At 34.3% G+C, this 18,734-nt stretch overlaps 1 pseudogene, besides 1 other annotated feature; it reads right to left on the bottom strand.

Annotated features, from left to right (window-relative positions):
• Nucleotides 6,653-7,272, bottom strand: ELOCP3 (elongin C pseudogene 3; annotated as a pseudogene).
• Nucleotides 15,460-15,964: an enhancer, noted in NCBI's record as "OCT4-NANOG hESC enhancer chr10:10207451-10207955 (GRCh37/hg19 assembly coordinates)". NCBI's record gives its function as "activates a minimal SCP1, AML or CMV promoter by ChIP-STARR-seq in naive H9 embryonic stem cells {active_cell/tissue: H9 hESC(naive)}" and the evidence as "EXISTENCE:reporter gene assay evidence [ECO:0000049][PMID:30033119]".

The following is an 18,734-nucleotide window of genomic DNA, read 5'->3' as shown; positions in this document are numbered from 1 at the left end:
ATTAATTCTTTCAATAGCTGAGTAGTATTTATTTATATATATATATATATAATATATATATATGTATATATGTATATATAATATATATATTATATATATATGTATATATGTATATATACACACACATACATACACACACACGTAGCACAGTTTCTTTATCTACTCGTTGATTGATGGACATTTGGGCTGGTTCCACATTTTTGCAATTGCAAATTGTGTTACTGTAAACATGCATGTGCAAGTATCTTTTTCGTATAATGACTGCTTTTCCTCTGGGTAGATACCCAGTAGTGGAAGTGCTGGATCAAACAGTAGTTCTACTTTTAGTTCTTTAAGGAATCTCTACGCTGGTTTTTTATAGTGGTTATACTAGTTTACATTCGACCAGCACTGTAGAAGTGTTTCCTTTTCACTACATCCACACCATTGATTATTTTTTAATTTTTTTGATTATGGCCATTCTTCCAGAAGTAAGGTTGTATTGCATTGTGGTTTTGATTTGAATTTCCCTGATCATTTGCTATGTTGAGCATTTTTTTGTATGTTTGTTTGCCATTTGTATATCTTCTTCTGAGAATTGTCTATTCATGTCCTTAGCCCACTTTTTGATGGGATTGTTTTTTTCTTGCTAATTTGTTTGAGTTTGTTGCAGATTCTGGATATCAGTCATTTGTCACATGTGTAGATTGTGAAGATTTTCTCCCACTCTGTGGGTTGTATGTTTACTCTGCTGATAGCTACTTTTGCTGTGCAAAAGCTTTTTAGTTTATTGTATCCCTTCTTCTCTGCCTAATTATTACACATTCCTTTAAAAAAATCTGTTTTAACATTATTTTTTCAGAGAAGACTTCCTATCCCAACTTCCTCACTTCACCACCCCAGGTCAGGTCTCTTTAACACATGTTCCTAGAAGTTCCTGCACATTTTCTTCAAAGCACTTAACATAATTTATCATAATACATTTTTATGATTATTTGTTTAATAACTTCCAGGCCAATACACTGTTTTGTTCTACCATTTTATTCTTAGATTCTAGCAAAAGAGGTGGCACAGAGTAGGTTTTAAATAATATTTTATGGATGAATGAATGAATAAAAAAATTTGTAATGTTGGAAATTGCAGAATACGATAGGCCTGAGCAAATACATTTTATAATTATTTTATTATTTTAAGGGAATTATTAATCCTAAGAAGAATATTTAATTAAAAAAGAAAGAATTAGTCATAAGATTGAAAAAGATTAAAGAAGTCACTCAGTATTTTTTTTCTTTTCTTATAAGAATACCTAATCTTCATATTCAAGACACAAAAATAGTGAAATATTTTTACTTTTGAAATAGTAAAAGTACTTCTTATTAATGCAGTTAGCTGCCTTTATGATCTACCTTGGACTGAAATTCAATGAAAAGATAATAATGGGATTCCAATTAAAGCACTCTAAAGACTATAATAGAAAGTAAAAGCAAATTATTTTACTAAAACCTCAGTGCAATGTTACAATTGATGGTGGACATTAAATGATATTTCTTCTCATAAGAAAAAAATAAAACCTATAAGCCAAGTCTGTTAGCTGTTGATTCTGAAATTACACAGCAATTTCTCAAACATAGTGATCTGAAAACTACTCTGAAATAAATTGGGTTTATGGCTTTTGCTACATAGGGTGCTTGAAGAACATTATTATGAACTTGTATATTAGTTTTATTTTCTTAGAATGATACACCACTAAATACTACAGAGCAGAAAAGGGAAGAGGAGAAAGAAAATAGATACTCTAGGAATTTTTGAATCCCTAGTTTTTAAAAACAATTTACCAAATCAGAGTTCCATTTATATAATCATCCTCTATTATATAACTGAGTGCATATTGCCTAATTAAAACAAAACCAAAAAAAACTTTGTTAGTAGAAAGGTCCTAGTTGACATTTGCCAACTGTATACATTTTGGTCAATATACTCACTGTATTCAAGACTCAGTTTTCTAATCAGTAAAATAGTGATAGATAGAATCGATCATGAGTAGATTACCTACTTCATGAAGTTTTTTTGGTGAAGATTAAATTACATATTAAAGTACTAGACACACAGTAGAGATTAAAATTCTGAAAAACTTTGAAATTATAGTTGCACTTTGAATGTGAAAAGTTAGGAATAAGAGTTATTTAACCTTTTCATTCCCCTGAGTGATATAATTTTATAATGTCTTTTTTTCAAAGCTTAAATTTAAAGATTTCTTCAGAGTCAAACATAATAATAAAGCATTTATTAATTAACTGAAATTTAAATTCAGTTATAAAGATAAGAACATGTACATTTTTGTTTACAAACAGTATCTTATTTCAATAGAAGATACACAATGTACCCAATTTTCTGGCTTTCTTGAATACTGTTTTGAAAATGGTTTTAATGCTGTGGTCAATAACAGAAGAAATGATTTGTCACCAGCTGTGTTCAATAGCTACAGGCCATTAAAATTATCCTGATAAAATTCTCCATGGGTGTATAAGGTAATACATTTGTCAGACTGACAGATATAGATATAATTTATAGATTTCTAAGGAAGCAAACAAGGAACATGCATAAATATAGATCTCTGCAGAAAGAAGACTATACAAGAACCAATGAGCAGATATATTTCCAATAGACTCTTGTAACATTCTGATGTCTTCTTTGCCACATTTAATTTGACGAAGAATTTAAGCTTTCCATGTTTCTCATTGACTTCTAAAATTAACATCAACTTGGAGAAGGCAAAGACATGATAAACAGCATCTGTTTCACAAAGCTGCTTGGTGGATGAAAATCTGAGAAAAGTATGAGACCGGAGACTCTCTAAATAGATATATCAACACGTGCACACACACACACACACACACACACACACATGCTCATACTAATTTTAAGGTTGATTAAATTCACAAGTCTGTTACAGCTCAGCCACTATTCAAGAGAGAAAAGTTTTCTTATTTGTCAAAGTTCATTTTAGCATCTGATAATTGGTTGGATGTAAATATGTAAAGATAGATGTGAGGTCATCAATCAAATCAATTCAAAAACTTTAACCTGACTGCAGTGAAAAAAGACCTGAGAAATAAATAAGATATATTTGTGGGCAAAAAGCAGAGTGCAGATGAGGCATGTATCTAGATAATTTAAGCAAAATCAATTTTTACAAGTTAAAAAAAATTATCTTGAAATGTCAGATGGAAGTAGGCATTTTAAGGTCTCAGTTATCTAAAGAATTGCTTTAAATTTTGTTCACTGTGTACATGTTTGTGAGACATAAACCTGCAGAAATCTAAAATTGTTCCTTGCACTGTCAGTTGAAGCAAAGAGGAACAAAGCATCTCAACTAAGTCTCTGAAGGTTTCATACTACTTGTATTTATGTTAGAACGCAAATGTACTACGTACCACTTTATCATGAGCGCTCGTGATAACTCAATGCTATTATTCCAGTGCTCCCCAAATAATATTATGAAAGCAAGCAGAAGGAAGGAAGGAAGGAAAGAAGGAATTAAGGAAGGAAGGAAGGAGAAGGAGAAGGAAGGAGAAGGAGAAAGAAGGAGAAGGAAGGAGAAGGAGAAGGAAGGAGAAGGAATGAGAAGGGAGGGAAGGGAGAGAAGAAAGGCAGGGAGAGAGGGAGGGAGGGAAGGAAGGAAGGAAGGAAGGAAATAAGGGAGGGAAGGAGTAAGGGAGGGCAGGCAGGCCAGAAAGAGGAAAAATATAATGAATCAGTGAAGCTGATTTGGTCAGAAGTGAAGCAGCTTTGTAATCAAAATGCTCATAAAAGTTGATTGCTATTCTGTTTTAATCGAGAATCTATTAAGTGGAAAGAAGGTTGGGTTTGCCTTTTACTTTTTAATTATTAGAATGTATTTGGGGGCATTGACACTGTAATTACTGAACTCTCCCCTATTTTTACTGTGTGTGTGTGTGTGTGTGTGTGTATATATATATATATATATATATATATATATATATATATATATATATATATTACAAGTCCCCATAATAATATAAATATTGGGAATTTTTAGTAGTTTAAAAGAATAAAATTTTGGAATTATTTGTTTCACATAGACCTAGACATAAGTTAAAAATATATTAGGGTTGTTATGGCAAAGAAAAATTTTACGTGGTATAAGATGATACAAATGAGCAATGAAGGCACGTTTTAATATTACACTCTGGACAAGATCTCAGAAAAGGCTTCAAAAATCATGACTTTGTCTTGAGAGAGGACTTCATCAAAACTGCTCCACAAAAGAAGGGCGACTAATATATTCTTCAGTAAAATTGTTATTATTGCACCGACCTATTGATAAATTATTGTTTTCAAAATGTGACATATAAAAAGAGAAAAACAACAAGTACATGAATTTTACTTAAAATAATTTTTACACTCACATATAAATGCTCGTTTAAAAAAGAATAGGTGACTGAATTACAGCTGTTACAATCTGAATGCAAAGGTGTTGCATTTTTAGAATTTTATTTTTTTTATTTCCATCAATGTCCAAACTCTGTAAAACCCTGAACAAGACAATTCCCGTAGAATATCAGAAATACAATATGAATTGGCTCTTAAACTAAAAAGGAGACACTTACACTTTCAACAGGCCAGAATTTAAGTTCCCACCAGAAACAATGAAAAAAAAAAAAAACAGATAAAATGTAAGCGTTTAAAAAAATATATTTTAACAAAATTGGACATCAGGCAACGAAAGACAAGGATTCATGAGAGACACAAAACTTCATGAGAGGAGTCTTCAGTCTCCACAGCTGATGGCCAAGGGAGAGTTTTTGTTATGACATAAGAAGGGGAAGCACTGTAGAGCCCAGAGCTCTCTGAGATAAAGCAAAAATTCTGGTTATGGAAATATCCACAATTCACAAGAAAGAATGGTAATGCTGCACGCACAGAGACGTGAAGATCTGCAGTTGATCTCCTTCACGCCTTCAGCTGAGTACTGATCAATGCATACATTTGGGCACATGTACTGAGGCTGCAAAAAGTATCATTAAAAAGAGAAGAAGGAGCAGTCCCTGGGACTTAGTCATGGCTGGTAATCGTTCCTTTTCCCACTAGTTAACGTGAGAAACTTCATAATTCAGAGTATCGCACAGAACACTTGGAAGAGCTTTGTCTGGGTGGTGGGGAAGTTAACTTCAGACTAAACACTGCTCTGGTACCACTTAACAAACTTGTAAAAGCAAGTCTCAAAAGGATCAATTTCCCAGTAAAACTGAATCACTCTAAAATGCTTAAGAATATTTATTTTGAGACGGAGCTGTGCTTTGTCACCGGGGCTGTAGTGGAGTGGCACTATCTCGGCTAACTGCAACCTCTGCCTCCTGGGTTGAAGTGATTCTCCTGCCTCAGCCTAATGAGTAGCTGGGACTACAGGCGCGTGCCACCATGCCCGGCTAATTTTTGTGTTTTTAGTAGAGACGGGGTTTCACCATGTTGGCCAGGCTGGCCTTGAACTCCTGACCTCAAGTGATCCGCCCACCTCAGCCTCCCAAAGTGCTGGGATTACAGGCATGAACCACCACGCCCAGCCAAAAATGCTTAAGAAAACTTATAAGAATACAAAAATATCTAGTACACAATCAGTAAAATTCAATGAAAATGTACTAGACATGCAACTAAGCAGAAAAATATAATTAACAGAAATACTAGGCCATCAAAACCAACTCAGGAAGGACAGGGTGAGGCTGGCCATGGTGGTTCATTCCTGTAATCCCAGTGCTTTGGTAGGCTGAGGTGGGAGGATCACTTGAGCCCAGGATTTTGAGACCAGCCTGGGCAACATAGTGAGACCCTATCTGTACAAAAAATAAAAATTAACCAGGTATGGTGGCAGATGCCTGTAGTCCCAGATACTCTGAAGGTTGAGGTTGAGAATCGACCCCAGGAGCTCCAGGTGGTGGCTGTGATAGCTCCACCAGCACTCCAGCCTAGGTGACAGAGTGACTCTGTCTCAAAAAAAAAAAAAAAAAAAAAAAAAAAGACACAGGTCTTAAGTAGATAATGACATTAAAATGGTTATTATTACTATTAGGGGCAATTAATAGTATATCATACATTATAGTGGATAAGATTTGTAATTTGAAGATATAGCTGTCATAACTGTATAAAATAAAATACAGAAAGAAAAAAAGACTAAAAAATATACAGAACATCGTTGTCTGTGAGACAACTTCAAGCAGTTTAAATAGAATGTGTCAGGAAAGAGGATAAGAGGGCTGACCTAGGAAAAATATTTGAAGAAATGGTGCACAAATTTCCAAAGTTAATAAAAACAATCATCTCCTAGATTGAAAATCTGAATGATTCACCTAACAAAGATCAGAATGACAGCAGACTTTTTTTTTCAGAAACAATGCCAGAAAGTACAGCCACAAAACTAAATTACTGAAATGACTAAAACAAACAAAAAAAGATGTCAGCCTAGATTTCCATAACTAATAAATATATCATTTGGAGTTAAAGATAAAATAAGTACTTGTTACACATAGAAGAGCTAAAAGAAAATAATTTGAGAGGAAAATAATAGATCTTTACAAAGAAATGCATAGAACCAGAATTGGTCATCACATTGGTAAATATAAATAACTATCTTTATGATGATTATTATTTTTTTTTTTACAAATTGGCATCTTTATTTCTCAGTTTGTGGAAATATCCTTAATTTGTTGATGTAGCAACAAACTTCAACTTTGATTGCTATGCAAAAAACAGAAGATAATCTCCTTTGCAATGAACTTTATATAGTTCAACTGCATACAGGCAACATGCTATATATGAAAAAATTACTAACTGAACTACAGGTATTAAATACTGAAAAGAGTTAACAGTTTATTATAATTTATTTTATTTCACAATCTAGGAAGCTCACATCCATTAACAGTTCTAGTGCAATTTCAGGTGCAATTGGGAGCTCTGGAACCTCGGTGGAGCTGTTAGGGTAGCGAACCTTATACATAAAATACGTGCATACTTTTGATAGCACACGCGAAGGTATCTCTCTAAAATTGACCTCATTGGTTTCATTCACAGCAGACTGACCTGGGCCACCCAATGTGGTTTTTATTGTGCCTGATGTTAATGCATGTTCTCTTTTTACAATAAATTCATGGCCATCAGATGATATCAATTTCACATACATCGCATCAGGGCCTTCACAGCCACCACAGGTTTTCTCCTCTCCATCCATTTTGTTCTTATGAAACTCTACTTTGCTTCCCCAGGAACTTCAGTGGTTTCTCATCAGCCCCACAACCACCGCAGCCCAAATATTTGGGCAAATATATTTGGGCAAAAATATTTGGGCAAAAGAACTGAACAGACATCTCATCAAAGAATATATACTGATGGCAGATAAGCATATGAGAAGATGTTCAACATCATACATCATTAGGGATTTGCAGATTAAAATGACAGTGAGATACAATTACAAGAGATTAGAATGGCAAAAATCTGAAACTCTGACAACACCAAATGCTGGTGAGGATGTGGAGCAACAGGAACTCTCACTCACTGCTGGTGGGAATGCAAACTGTGATAGCCACTTCAGAAGACAGTTTTCAGCTTCTCACAAACTAAACACACTCTTGTCATATGATCCAGTAATTGTGCTCCTTGGTATTTACCCACATGAGTTGAAAACTTATGTCCACATGAAAAACTACACATAAATGTTTGCAGCAGGTTTATTCATAATTGCTAAAAATTGGAAGCAAACAAGATCTCCTTCAGTAGGTGGATTAACAAACTGTGGTACATCCAGACAATGTAATATTATTCAGTGGTAAAAATAAATGAGCCATGAAGACATGAAAAGACATGGAGGAATGTCTTAAATGCATATCACTAAGTAAAATAAGGTAATCTGAAGAGGATATATATTGTATGATTCCAAGTATACGACATTCTGGAAAATGCAGAACTATGGAGATAATATAAACATCTGTGGTTGCAAGGGAGTAGTGTGGAAGGAAGGATGAAGAGACAGAGCACAGAGGATTGTTTAGGGCAGTGAACTATCCTGTATGATGCTAGTTTGGGGGATCTATGTCATTACATATTTGTCAAATCCATAGAATGTACAGTGAATCCTAATGTAAGCTATGGATATTGGGTAACGACAATGTGTCAATGTAGGCTCATCAATAATAAGAAATATGTTACCATGTAGGGGATGTTAATAATGAAGGAAGTTATGCACGTATGTGGGAGCTCTGCATTTTCTGCTAATATTGCTGTGAACCTAAAACTTCTTTAAGAATAAGCCTACTTTTTAAAAAGAGAATGAACTCTTTAAGTCAAAAATGATAATTATTTCCACTTGTGTTTCTGTATTCAGAAAAAATTAAAAATAAAGATAATTATTTGATTTATAACATATGTATAGGTATATTGATGGTAAGACTAGTTCGAAGAATAGGAAGATAAAAATGGAAGTATGTTGTCCTGGGATTCTTACATGCAAAGTGATATGATATAACATGAATGTAGAATGTGAGGAATGAATTACATATTATACAAATCCAAAAGTAACCACTAACATAACACAACAAACAGTTGTACCTAATGTGGCAACAAGTGAAATGAAATGCAATTATGAAAAATACTCATTTAATTCAAAGGAAGGCCAACAGAAAAGAAAAAAAAAAAAAAAGGGAGGACAAATTAAAACCAACAGAAAAAAGTAATTCCAACTTTATCAATAATTATATGATGTGCTGTCTATACCCCAACTAAAGGGCAGAAATTGTCATATAGCATAAAAAGCAAGTCCTAATTAAAAACTGACTTTACATATAAAGGCATGAATACGTTGAAAGTAAAAGGGTAAGAAAAAATATACCAAAAAATTACCTATGAAAAGAAAGCAGGGATAGTTCTATTAATATCAGAGAAATAAATTCCAGAGTAATTCAAGGATAAATTTCAACATGACGAAGGTGTCAATTCATCTAGAGGACAAAATAATTCTAAATGGTTATGCACCTAATAACAGAGTTTTACAAGTCATTCCGTAAAAACTGATAAAACTACAAAGAGAAATAGAAAAATACACGATTAAAGTCAGGGATTTTAATATCCCACTCTCAATATTTGATAGAATTAAGTGTGCAGGGTATAGGTGAGAATAATGAAGGCTCAAACAACATTCAACCAAGTTGACCCAGTTGACACTTTCAGAATATTCCACCCCAAAATAACAGAATACAGGAATCAGTATCTTTTTTCCAAATATTAGCGGAACAGTTACTAAAAACAAAATAGTCTGGGCCAGAAGACAAGTCTCAGTAAACATAAGGTACTTAAATCATACAAAACGTATTATCGGACCGCAATGAAATTAAACAAGAAATAATAAAAAAAAACTTGAAAATCCCAAATGTTTGGAAGCTAAACAACATACTTCTAAATTATTTAAATGTAAATTAAAAAACAAAAATAGAGATTAGAAAGTATTTTGAAGTCAATACAAATGAAAAGAAAACATGTAGGGAAAAAAAAGTTTCAAAGCAATATTCTCAGTATCTACCTAAGGACAAATTGGAACTAAAAGCCAATGTAAATTATATCCAAAATAAGGAGAAGGAAATAGTCAATATAGAGCAGAAGTTAATTAAATAGAAAACAGCAAAACAATAAAGAAAATATATGAAATGAAAAGGTAGCTCTTTGATAACGCAATAAAAATGATTAACTTCTCTGCAGGAACACAGAGAGAATAGACAAATTAACAGTATCAGGAATAAGAGTAGTGCCATCACCACAGAGCTGATAGATACATTTTAAAAAAAGATAATTATTAAATATTATGAACAACTTCATGTTAGAGTTGTTCTTTCACAACATAGATGAGAAAATTTCTTGAAAGTCTTAAACTACAAAAGCTTTATCAAGAGATAGAGATCCACAATAGCCCCCATGTGTATTAAAGAAGTTAAATTTGTACTTCAAAACCTTTCCAACAACAAAATTCGAGACTCAGATGGTTACACTTTTGAATGCTACTGAACTTTTAGGGAAAAGACCAATTCTGCACAAACACTCCCCGAAAATTGAGAACGTAGTATTTCTGAATTTATTGGATAAAGCCAGCATTATTCTGAGACACAAAGCATATCAATAGAAAAAAAAAGTGCAGACAAGTATCTGTCATGAACATAGATGCAAAAATTCTAAACAAAATCATAGTGTATCAAATCAAACAATAAGTCAAAATGATAACACATCATGACCAGGTAGGATGTATAAATAATACAAATACACTAAAAAAATCTATTAAGGTATTCACCATGTTAACAGATTAAGAAGGACCATCCATGTAAATATTTCAAGAGATGAGAGAAATCATTTGACAAAATCCAATGTCAGCTTTTCATAGAAACTCTCAGCAAACTAAGAGTAGTAGAATTTTTTAATCTAATAAAGACAATCTATAAAAAATATACTCCTATCAATACACTTAACGGTGAAAGACTAAATGCTTATTTTCTAACATCAGGAACAAGGAACTCTCACCAATTCTCATTTTAGCCAGTACAATCAGACTTGAAGAAAAATTGAAGATATCCAGTTTGAAGGGGGAAAAGCTATAAGACTTAAGTGTATTTATCACGGTCACAATATAGAACATGGATATACATAATTAATTGTATTTCTATATACTCGCAACAAACATTTGGAAATCAAAGTAAAAAATACTATCCCAAATAGAATTTTAAAATAAGAAGATTTGGAATAAATATGATGAAGATGTATAAGGCCTGTGTACTAAAATCTAAAAGCCTTGCTGAAAGAAAATAATGATGATTTAAACAAACAGAGAGAAAGATTGTGTTTGCAGGTTAGAAAACTCAATCTGTTATGAGCTCTCTCCAAAGCGATATATCAATTCAATGTGATAATAATCATAATCCCAGCAAGTTTCTCTTTTAAGAATTTCACAAGGAAATTCTAAGGTTTATATAGTAATGCAAATAGCATAGAATAGCCAACACAAATTCGAAAAAGAAGAATGAAGTAGGAAGAAATACACTCTACCTGACTTTAAGACTTATTATGAAGCTGCAGTAATCAGGAGAATGTGTTATTGGTATAAAGAGTAATACACAGATCAATGGAACAGCATAGAGAGTTTAGAAATAGACCTACACATATATGGTAAATTGACTTTTGACAAAGATACAAATTCATCTCAGTAGAAAAATGGATAGTATTTTCAACAAATGGTGCCAGAAAATTTGGATATCCTTACATAAAAAAAAATTGACTTTGATCCATACCTAGCACCACATACAGAAGTTGATTCTGAATGGACCCTAGACCCAAAAAGAAAAGCTAAATATATAAAACTTGTAAAAGAAAAACATAGGAGAAAAGAATCTACATTACTTTGGGTAAGGCTAAATTTCTAAGTACAATGCCCAAAGTATGTTCTATAAAAGAAAAGAATGGCAAATTGTAGTTTATCAAAATTAGAGTATCTGTGTTTTCAATGGTACTCCTAAGGGAATAAAAAAGTCAAGGTAAAGAGTAGAACAAAGTTTTGCAAATCACATTCACATGTGATCAAAAAGATCTTATGTCCAAAATATATACAAAACTCCTAAAACTCAGTAATTAAAACACCGACAATTCAGTTAAGAAATGTAAAAGTTCTATACAGACAGAGACTAAAAAAGATGAGTGGAAAATGAATGCTTGTAAAGATGTTCAGCTCATTGGTGGTCAAAGAAATGCAAATTAAAACCACAATGCAATAACACTGCATACACATCAATTGGAATGGCTAAAATGAAAACTGTGGCCCAACAAAATGTTGATGAGAATTTAGAAGAACCAGAACATTTATATTTTACTGGTGGGAATGAAAATGAGACAACCACTTTGGAAAATAATTTGTTGATTCCTTAAAAAGTTAAACATATATCTACTATGTGATTCAGCCAAACAATTCTAGTTGTTTGACTGAGAGAAATGAAATCATATGTTCATAAAAAGCCTTTCCCAAGAATGTTCATAGCAGCCTTATTTAAAATAGCTCAACACAGGAAATAATACAAGTGTCCATCAGCAAGTGAATGGTAAAACTTCTATATTTATAAATATCTATTTAACAGTATAAAGAAATGAACTACAGATACATGCAATGATATGGATAAAATTCAAAATAATTATGCTGAGTGAAAGAAGTTAGCCCTTCCTTCTCAAAGGTGCATGCTCTTTGATTTCATTTATATTAAATTCTAGAAAATGCAAACCAATCTATAGTTATAGAAAAGAAATCAATGGCTGCATGAGGATGAGGAGAAGAAGTAGAAATAGGTTGCAAAGAGGCATGAGGAAATTTTCAGTGTGGTGGAAATGTTCATTGTGTTTATTATGGTAATAGATTATGATGGTTTCAAGATGTATGGATATACCCAAAGTTATCACATTGTTCACTTTAAATTCATTTAGTTTATTGTATGTAACAGCTAAAAAAGTTCATTAGAATGTCTGAAAAGATACATAAATAATACGCTTTGAAGTTACATCCTTCTGTATCATTCATGGATTTGATAACATTGACTTGCATGACAAGTAGGTCAGAGACCATCACTAGCTCTGGAGGTCAATCTTGAGCTATATCCTCTATGTATGGCTGCCACCAAGAGTTCCACCAGAGAGAACTGGAAGATACTGAAGGTGTGAGCAGGCAAAGGTCAAAAAGTGAATTGCTAGTTTGTCATAGGAAATTAAAAAGCAATATATAGCCTAATTCATGCCTGCAAGCAATCAGTCAGGAGAAATAGAAGTAAAATGTCCAAGGCAGTTATAAGTTAAGGGCCAATTGTGTGGCAACAATGATTTGTACAGCAGACTTTCAAAACAGTAGAGAATTCAGACCACAGAAAAGGCAAACAGATAAAATAAGGGATTTATTAGTTGAAATGTGAATTGAACAATGTTTAAAATTTGAGTAGTATTTATACAAATAGGGATTGAGAGCAAATTGTGTAGAAACATCAGAAAATGAGGCGGAGGAAGACAGAGAGAGAAAATTGAATTGGCCCTTCTGGTTAAAATTGAGTTTGACTATTGGGTATGATAGACAGTAAATCTGAAAAGGGAACTTGGGATATATTTCAGGTCAGACAGTAGAAATTGGATTTTATCTGGTGGTTAATGTTCTCCCAATTTCTTGCACAAGATGTCTAGCTAGGGTGTGCAGAATACCCTAAAGAGATGAAAGGCTGAAGATGAGGGGTTAGCTAAGTGGCTACAACAGCAATCCAGGATAGGAAGGCACTGACAAAGGCCTGGTCTTTAGTGGTATCAACTGCTGACTCCTTCAAAAGACCATCAAAACAATACATTGATAAAGCAAAGGTAAGTTTATTGCTGACTGCTTTAAGAGAGGCCACTACCTTGATAAGATTCTTAGTAGCATCTGAGAGGAAGGAGAGAAATAGATATTTAAGAGGTTGTCTTGGGCAGGATGCTGGTAAAGCAGGTCTGTAAGTGGTGTTGGGGGCTGATAGGGCTTGAGTATAGATTACGAACATAATAGCCTGGAATTAATGGATGAAGCCAGTGAGGGTTTTAAAACACTCCTGTAAAGTACAAAGTTTTTTGATGATCTTCGTTAAGAAATCTATTGGCCTGAGAGCTTCTTAAAGTTGTTTGTTGATTAGGTAAATGAATTTTGCAGAGATCCTGGAAACGAAGTTATTTACAACTTCATCTATTTAAGAATGTCTTAAAATAATAAAGGCATGTTAATGTACATAGTTGGATAGTATAACACATTCACATTTACAGTAAACATTATAATTGGTGGTGGTTTTTGGTATTCAACAATGGTAATATTAATAGTTAAGTAGAAGAAAGGATTATCTAAGAAACGATAGGATTTGGCAGCCAATTCTATAGAGATAAAATGAAAAGGGCAAATTTGGATGATCAGGGAGTTGACATTTTGAAAACACTCAGCAAAATTTAATTTTAGAATTTAGGTAAAAAGAATTCACAAAGAAAAACATTGAGGACAAATGCTGTTGATTTAAGTGGTATTGTTTAGGTATTCATTAACTCTTCACAATTTTATGCATCCTCACTACTATAATTGTAAACGCATCATAGTCATGTTAAATCACATTAGGAAAAAATAGGTATATTTAACAAAATAAAAATAAACGAATTTGGATGCATTACATTTCAAGTCATTTGTATAGCTTAGATGTTTATTGTGAAGTCTTTGTATCTGTGATTACAAAGTGAAATCTCTCTTTTGTGACTGCCTGGGTGATTTTTCCTGTATTAACTAACTGAAGGCTCTTGTGTTAAGTTAACTGTGACTTTTACTTCTCTAGATTTTATATTCCTTGAGGATGAAAAATAAACAAACAAAAACCTGTACCAGACAGATTTAAACAGGCAAGGAAGACTATATTCAAAACTATGGCAATAGGGGATAGAGATTGAACTAATCTCTGCCAAGCAAACCAAAGCCTGGACTGGAGGATTTTTAAGCACTGGGATGAGCTAGTGCAAAGGTCCAAGAGGATGTTAGGGGAGAGGTTAGTCAATGTACTTAGGACATCTCTTTGCTAATGGTCACGTATTAAGCCTACCCTCCCACAAAGAGACAGAGGCACTATCTCCTTCAATGATTACATTTCAAAAAATGGCTCCCAGGTCCTTGAGAAGACATTCCTGGGTTATAAAACTTCAAGAGTCTTAGAAAAGATTTACATCTCAAAGAGGCAGAGAAAGAAGTTACAATTATGAGTTTTCTAAAGTCAATCTTCTACGAAGAAGTAGGTCATGGGAGTGTAGTCATGAACACACCTGTCTTAAGTTTAGCCAATCTAAGGTAAATGTTAAAGTCTCTTCATCAAGGGCTGAAACCTTTGTAGCTAACATTCACTTATTCCTCTTTGCAAAGATCAATGCCTTCTGCATATCTAGTGTTCAGTAAACATATATACACGTACACACACACATATATACACATATATGTATATACACACATACATATATATGGATAAATTGCTATAAATATGTTACTACATATATTCTACAAAAGCTAGATATAATTAATAAACAATGCCTTTGTGCTACTTTAGATATTTAAAGTTATTTTAAAACATTGGAACATAGGCTTTAATCCTACTGGTTTTTCCTTAGATCTTCAAAGACTCGGTAGTTGTTAAATGTTTAAATCAGCTTGAAAGATAAACATCTTCAAGGATCTGGGTCATCCTTTGCTATCCCCAAGCCCGTTGTACTTCATAACACAAAAATTCTGTCTTCTTTCTAAACCAGAAATGACATTTTCAGTTGATTACATATAAGAAAATTCAATCTATTCTTTTTCAGTTTGAGGGTGTTGGAACAAGTTCTTTGAAAAAAAACAAAAAACAAAAAAAGAATATATAATTTCCCTGGTTCCTTTTTCTAAATGCATCATTTCCCTTCCCCCAATCAGTGAATTCCAGCTATTAAAGTCTTGCTATATGAACCTAACAACTGTATGTTAAAAATTGTTTCCAAATCTATACAAACCCTTAACACTTGTGCTTAGCAAGTATGTGTTTGTGTGTGTGAGAAAGACAAATCAATACTATTTTAAAGACCAAATTTATTGAAGTCTTAAAAGAAAAACTCCACCCTTAAGATTTACATAAAAAATGAATCATGCAAATGAACTCAAGTTTGCAATATTTGTAACACAAAGATTTCTGTCAAAAAACAGTTGGAAATAACATGCTGTTTGCGATGTAATTGTTACTATTCACTAAAGCAGAAAAGGCAAATGCAGAAAACTTAAAGGCTGACAAGCTAGTCATTTAAAACTACAGGTTGTCTTAGGAATGACAATGGTTTTGAAATTCAGCTCAACCCATGCAGAGAAGTTGCTAGCTCCAGATATTGGAGGATATTTAACACTTTCATTGAATATGTTTTTTCCTTTCTTTTTTCTTCAGAACCTTTCAACCAGCCAAGGAAATCTGAGCCAGTTTATTATAGTCTATGAAATATTCAAATAGGCACTGGTCCTCTTTGCAAAGAGCTTCTGGAATTTGAGTTTTTAATGAGGGTATTTGTTTAAATGTGTATAATCCACAGAGCTTTAAAGCCCAGAAACGTGTTGCTTCTGCTAGAAAAAAATAAATAAATAACTGAAATATACATCTATATATTTGTTGTGTATAATTGTTAATAGACGCATATTTGCATAAGGCTTTTCTTTTTAATGTTCTTATAACAAAGTCGATATTTTGAAGTTGGAATTGCCCTCATTGGAGAGGCTGACATCAACGATTCTTGTGCCCCTATGTCCTCTTTTGTTTGCACTACTTGTCAGCAACAAATCATCTCTCCTTGACTAGACTTTAGTCTGACTTCTCTGAGCCCTGTTCTCCACTAGGCCTTCACTTGGGCTTTGTGCTTGCTGAGCTTCCCTAGCCCACTTGAAGCAAGAATCCTGTTACCTCAGATTGAGAGAACTCCCCACCCTTGACATCTGATCACCTTTAATATCTGATCCAATTCCTTATCCCTCACCATGCCCCAGGTGACATGTGATCACCCTGGCCTGCCTTCCAAGAGAATCCTGTTAGGTTAATTTAACAAGGTTCTTTCTACTCTGTTGTAATAGTAATTTTCTGTCTACCAACCACTCCTCAACCTGCTCCTTGGCTGTAAATTCCCACTTCTTTTCTTTTTTTTTAATTTATGAGAAGGAGTCTCTCTCTGTTGCCCAGGCTGAAATGCAGTGGCATTTTTATGCTTCAGAATGGCCTCAAGCCTCAACCTCTGGGGTTCAAGCCATCCTTGCACCTCAGCCTCCTGAGTAGCTGAGTCCACAGGGATGTGCCCAGCTAATAATAATAATAAAAAAAAATGTAGAGACAGGGTCTTGCTATCTTGCCCAGGCTGGTCTTGAACCCTTGAACTCAAGCAATCCTCCTGCCTTGGCTCCCAAAGTGTTGGGATTACAGGCACAAGCCACTGCACCCAGCCCCCACTTGTTCTTGATATATTTGGAATTGATCCCAGTTCTATGTGTCAATCAAGAAAAATGATGAGACAAGTCTCAATTATTTTAGGAAGTTTATTTGCTAAAGTTAAGGATGCACTTCCAGGAGACAAGTATAGGCCTTTCTCTGAATATAATTTTGAGGGCTCCCAATTTAAAGGGGAAAGGGTGGGATATTGAGAAGTATACATTTTTCATGTAAGGGCGGTAGGGAAAAACAGTCATTCATGCTTTTGTCTGGCCCAGTGAATCTGCATTTTTTTTTTACACATAAGATGACATAGGAAAATGGAACAGAGGAAAAATGCAGAGAATCTGCATTTTTTATATAAGACAAGATAGATAAAATGGGGCAGGGCAACGATCAGATATGCATTTGTGTCAAGTGGGCAGGGGTGACTGCATCTGTAGAGATAAGCTATCAACTTACACTGTCACGGTGAAATTTTTAACAGAAACACCTTAGGGTAAAGATCTTGGAGCTCACTAGCAATTTCCTTGTAGGCAAAATATTTTGGGGAGGTGTGTAGCTTTTCATCTTGTAGCCGTCTTATTTAGGAACCAAAAGGGGGAGGCAAGTTTGTGTTTGCATGACCCAGTTCCCAGCTTAACTTTTCCCCTTGGCTTTATGAGTTTGGGGTACCCAAGATTTATTTTCCTTTCTCATATGCCACTGAAGTATTTTCCCCAACTGTAATTGTTCCTGAATGAAATCTGTTTTCACCACTTGAATAACTATCTGGTTCTGGGTTTCTTTAATGTCCTCACAGGCCATCACACTCTTGAATGAATTTGGCTTCTTTATGCCTTTGTTTGTTTGTGTTGTAGCCTCTGCAGGGATCTTCACGAAGTTCTGTGTGGCTGGCCAGTCAGGCTTCAGCTCCTCTCTTTTGGATTTTGTGGCCCGATTGCCCACAAGGAAAAGATCAAGGTACAATAGTTCACTCTGATTAATTCCTCTTTTCATGGCTTTTTCTTACCTCATGTAAGATACAATGAATTTCTCTGAGTTTCTCTTCAAAGATTTAGCCTGCTAACTTCCTTGTCTTTTGTTCCCAAACTCAACTTTCTTGTTCCTCCTTGCCCCTAGTTACTGTTAAACAGACTACCCCCTTCCCATCAGCTCTAATGAATAACTCACATCTGTTCCCTTGGTTACCTGCACCCACTGTTCCCCCAAAACTACACATCTCACATGCTTCACCACCGTACCTCACATCCCCCTTCCCTTCCATATTTAGAAAAATATTTGCAAGAAGGCAATCAGCTTAGCTCAGATTGTGCGGTCTGACCCCAGTCCATGGGGGAGTGACACAGAGGTAGGGACTACCATCAGAGATAAAAGCTTGATGCTCTCCTTTGTTCCCCGTGCTCTTGCCATCTTGATTGACGTGAGTGGCACCCTTCTGCAGAAATAAATTTCCTTGCTGAGAGAACTTTTGGCTGATTGCTGGTTTCAATTTGCAGCACTGAGCATTTATTCCTAGAACATTTTTATACTCAACACTAATGTTTGAGAAACAGGTACTCAAAGACCAGAGACAGAATACTTACTGGCTACTTCCTCCCCCTCACCCCCATCATCCGTGTTAGCCTGAACTTAAAGGTAATTCTAATACCACCTAACCCAACACCATTTCCCAAAAGAATAAACTGAGACTCAAGATTTTGTAGCTCT

Source organism: Homo sapiens, chromosome 10 (genome assembly GCF_000001405.40).
Source record: "Homo sapiens chromosome 10, GRCh38.p14 Primary Assembly".
Lineage (NCBI taxonomy): Eukaryota > Metazoa > Chordata > Mammalia > Primates > Hominidae > Homo > Homo sapiens.
Note: the sequence above shows the minus strand (reverse complement) of the source record. Positions and strands in the feature narration are given on the sequence as shown.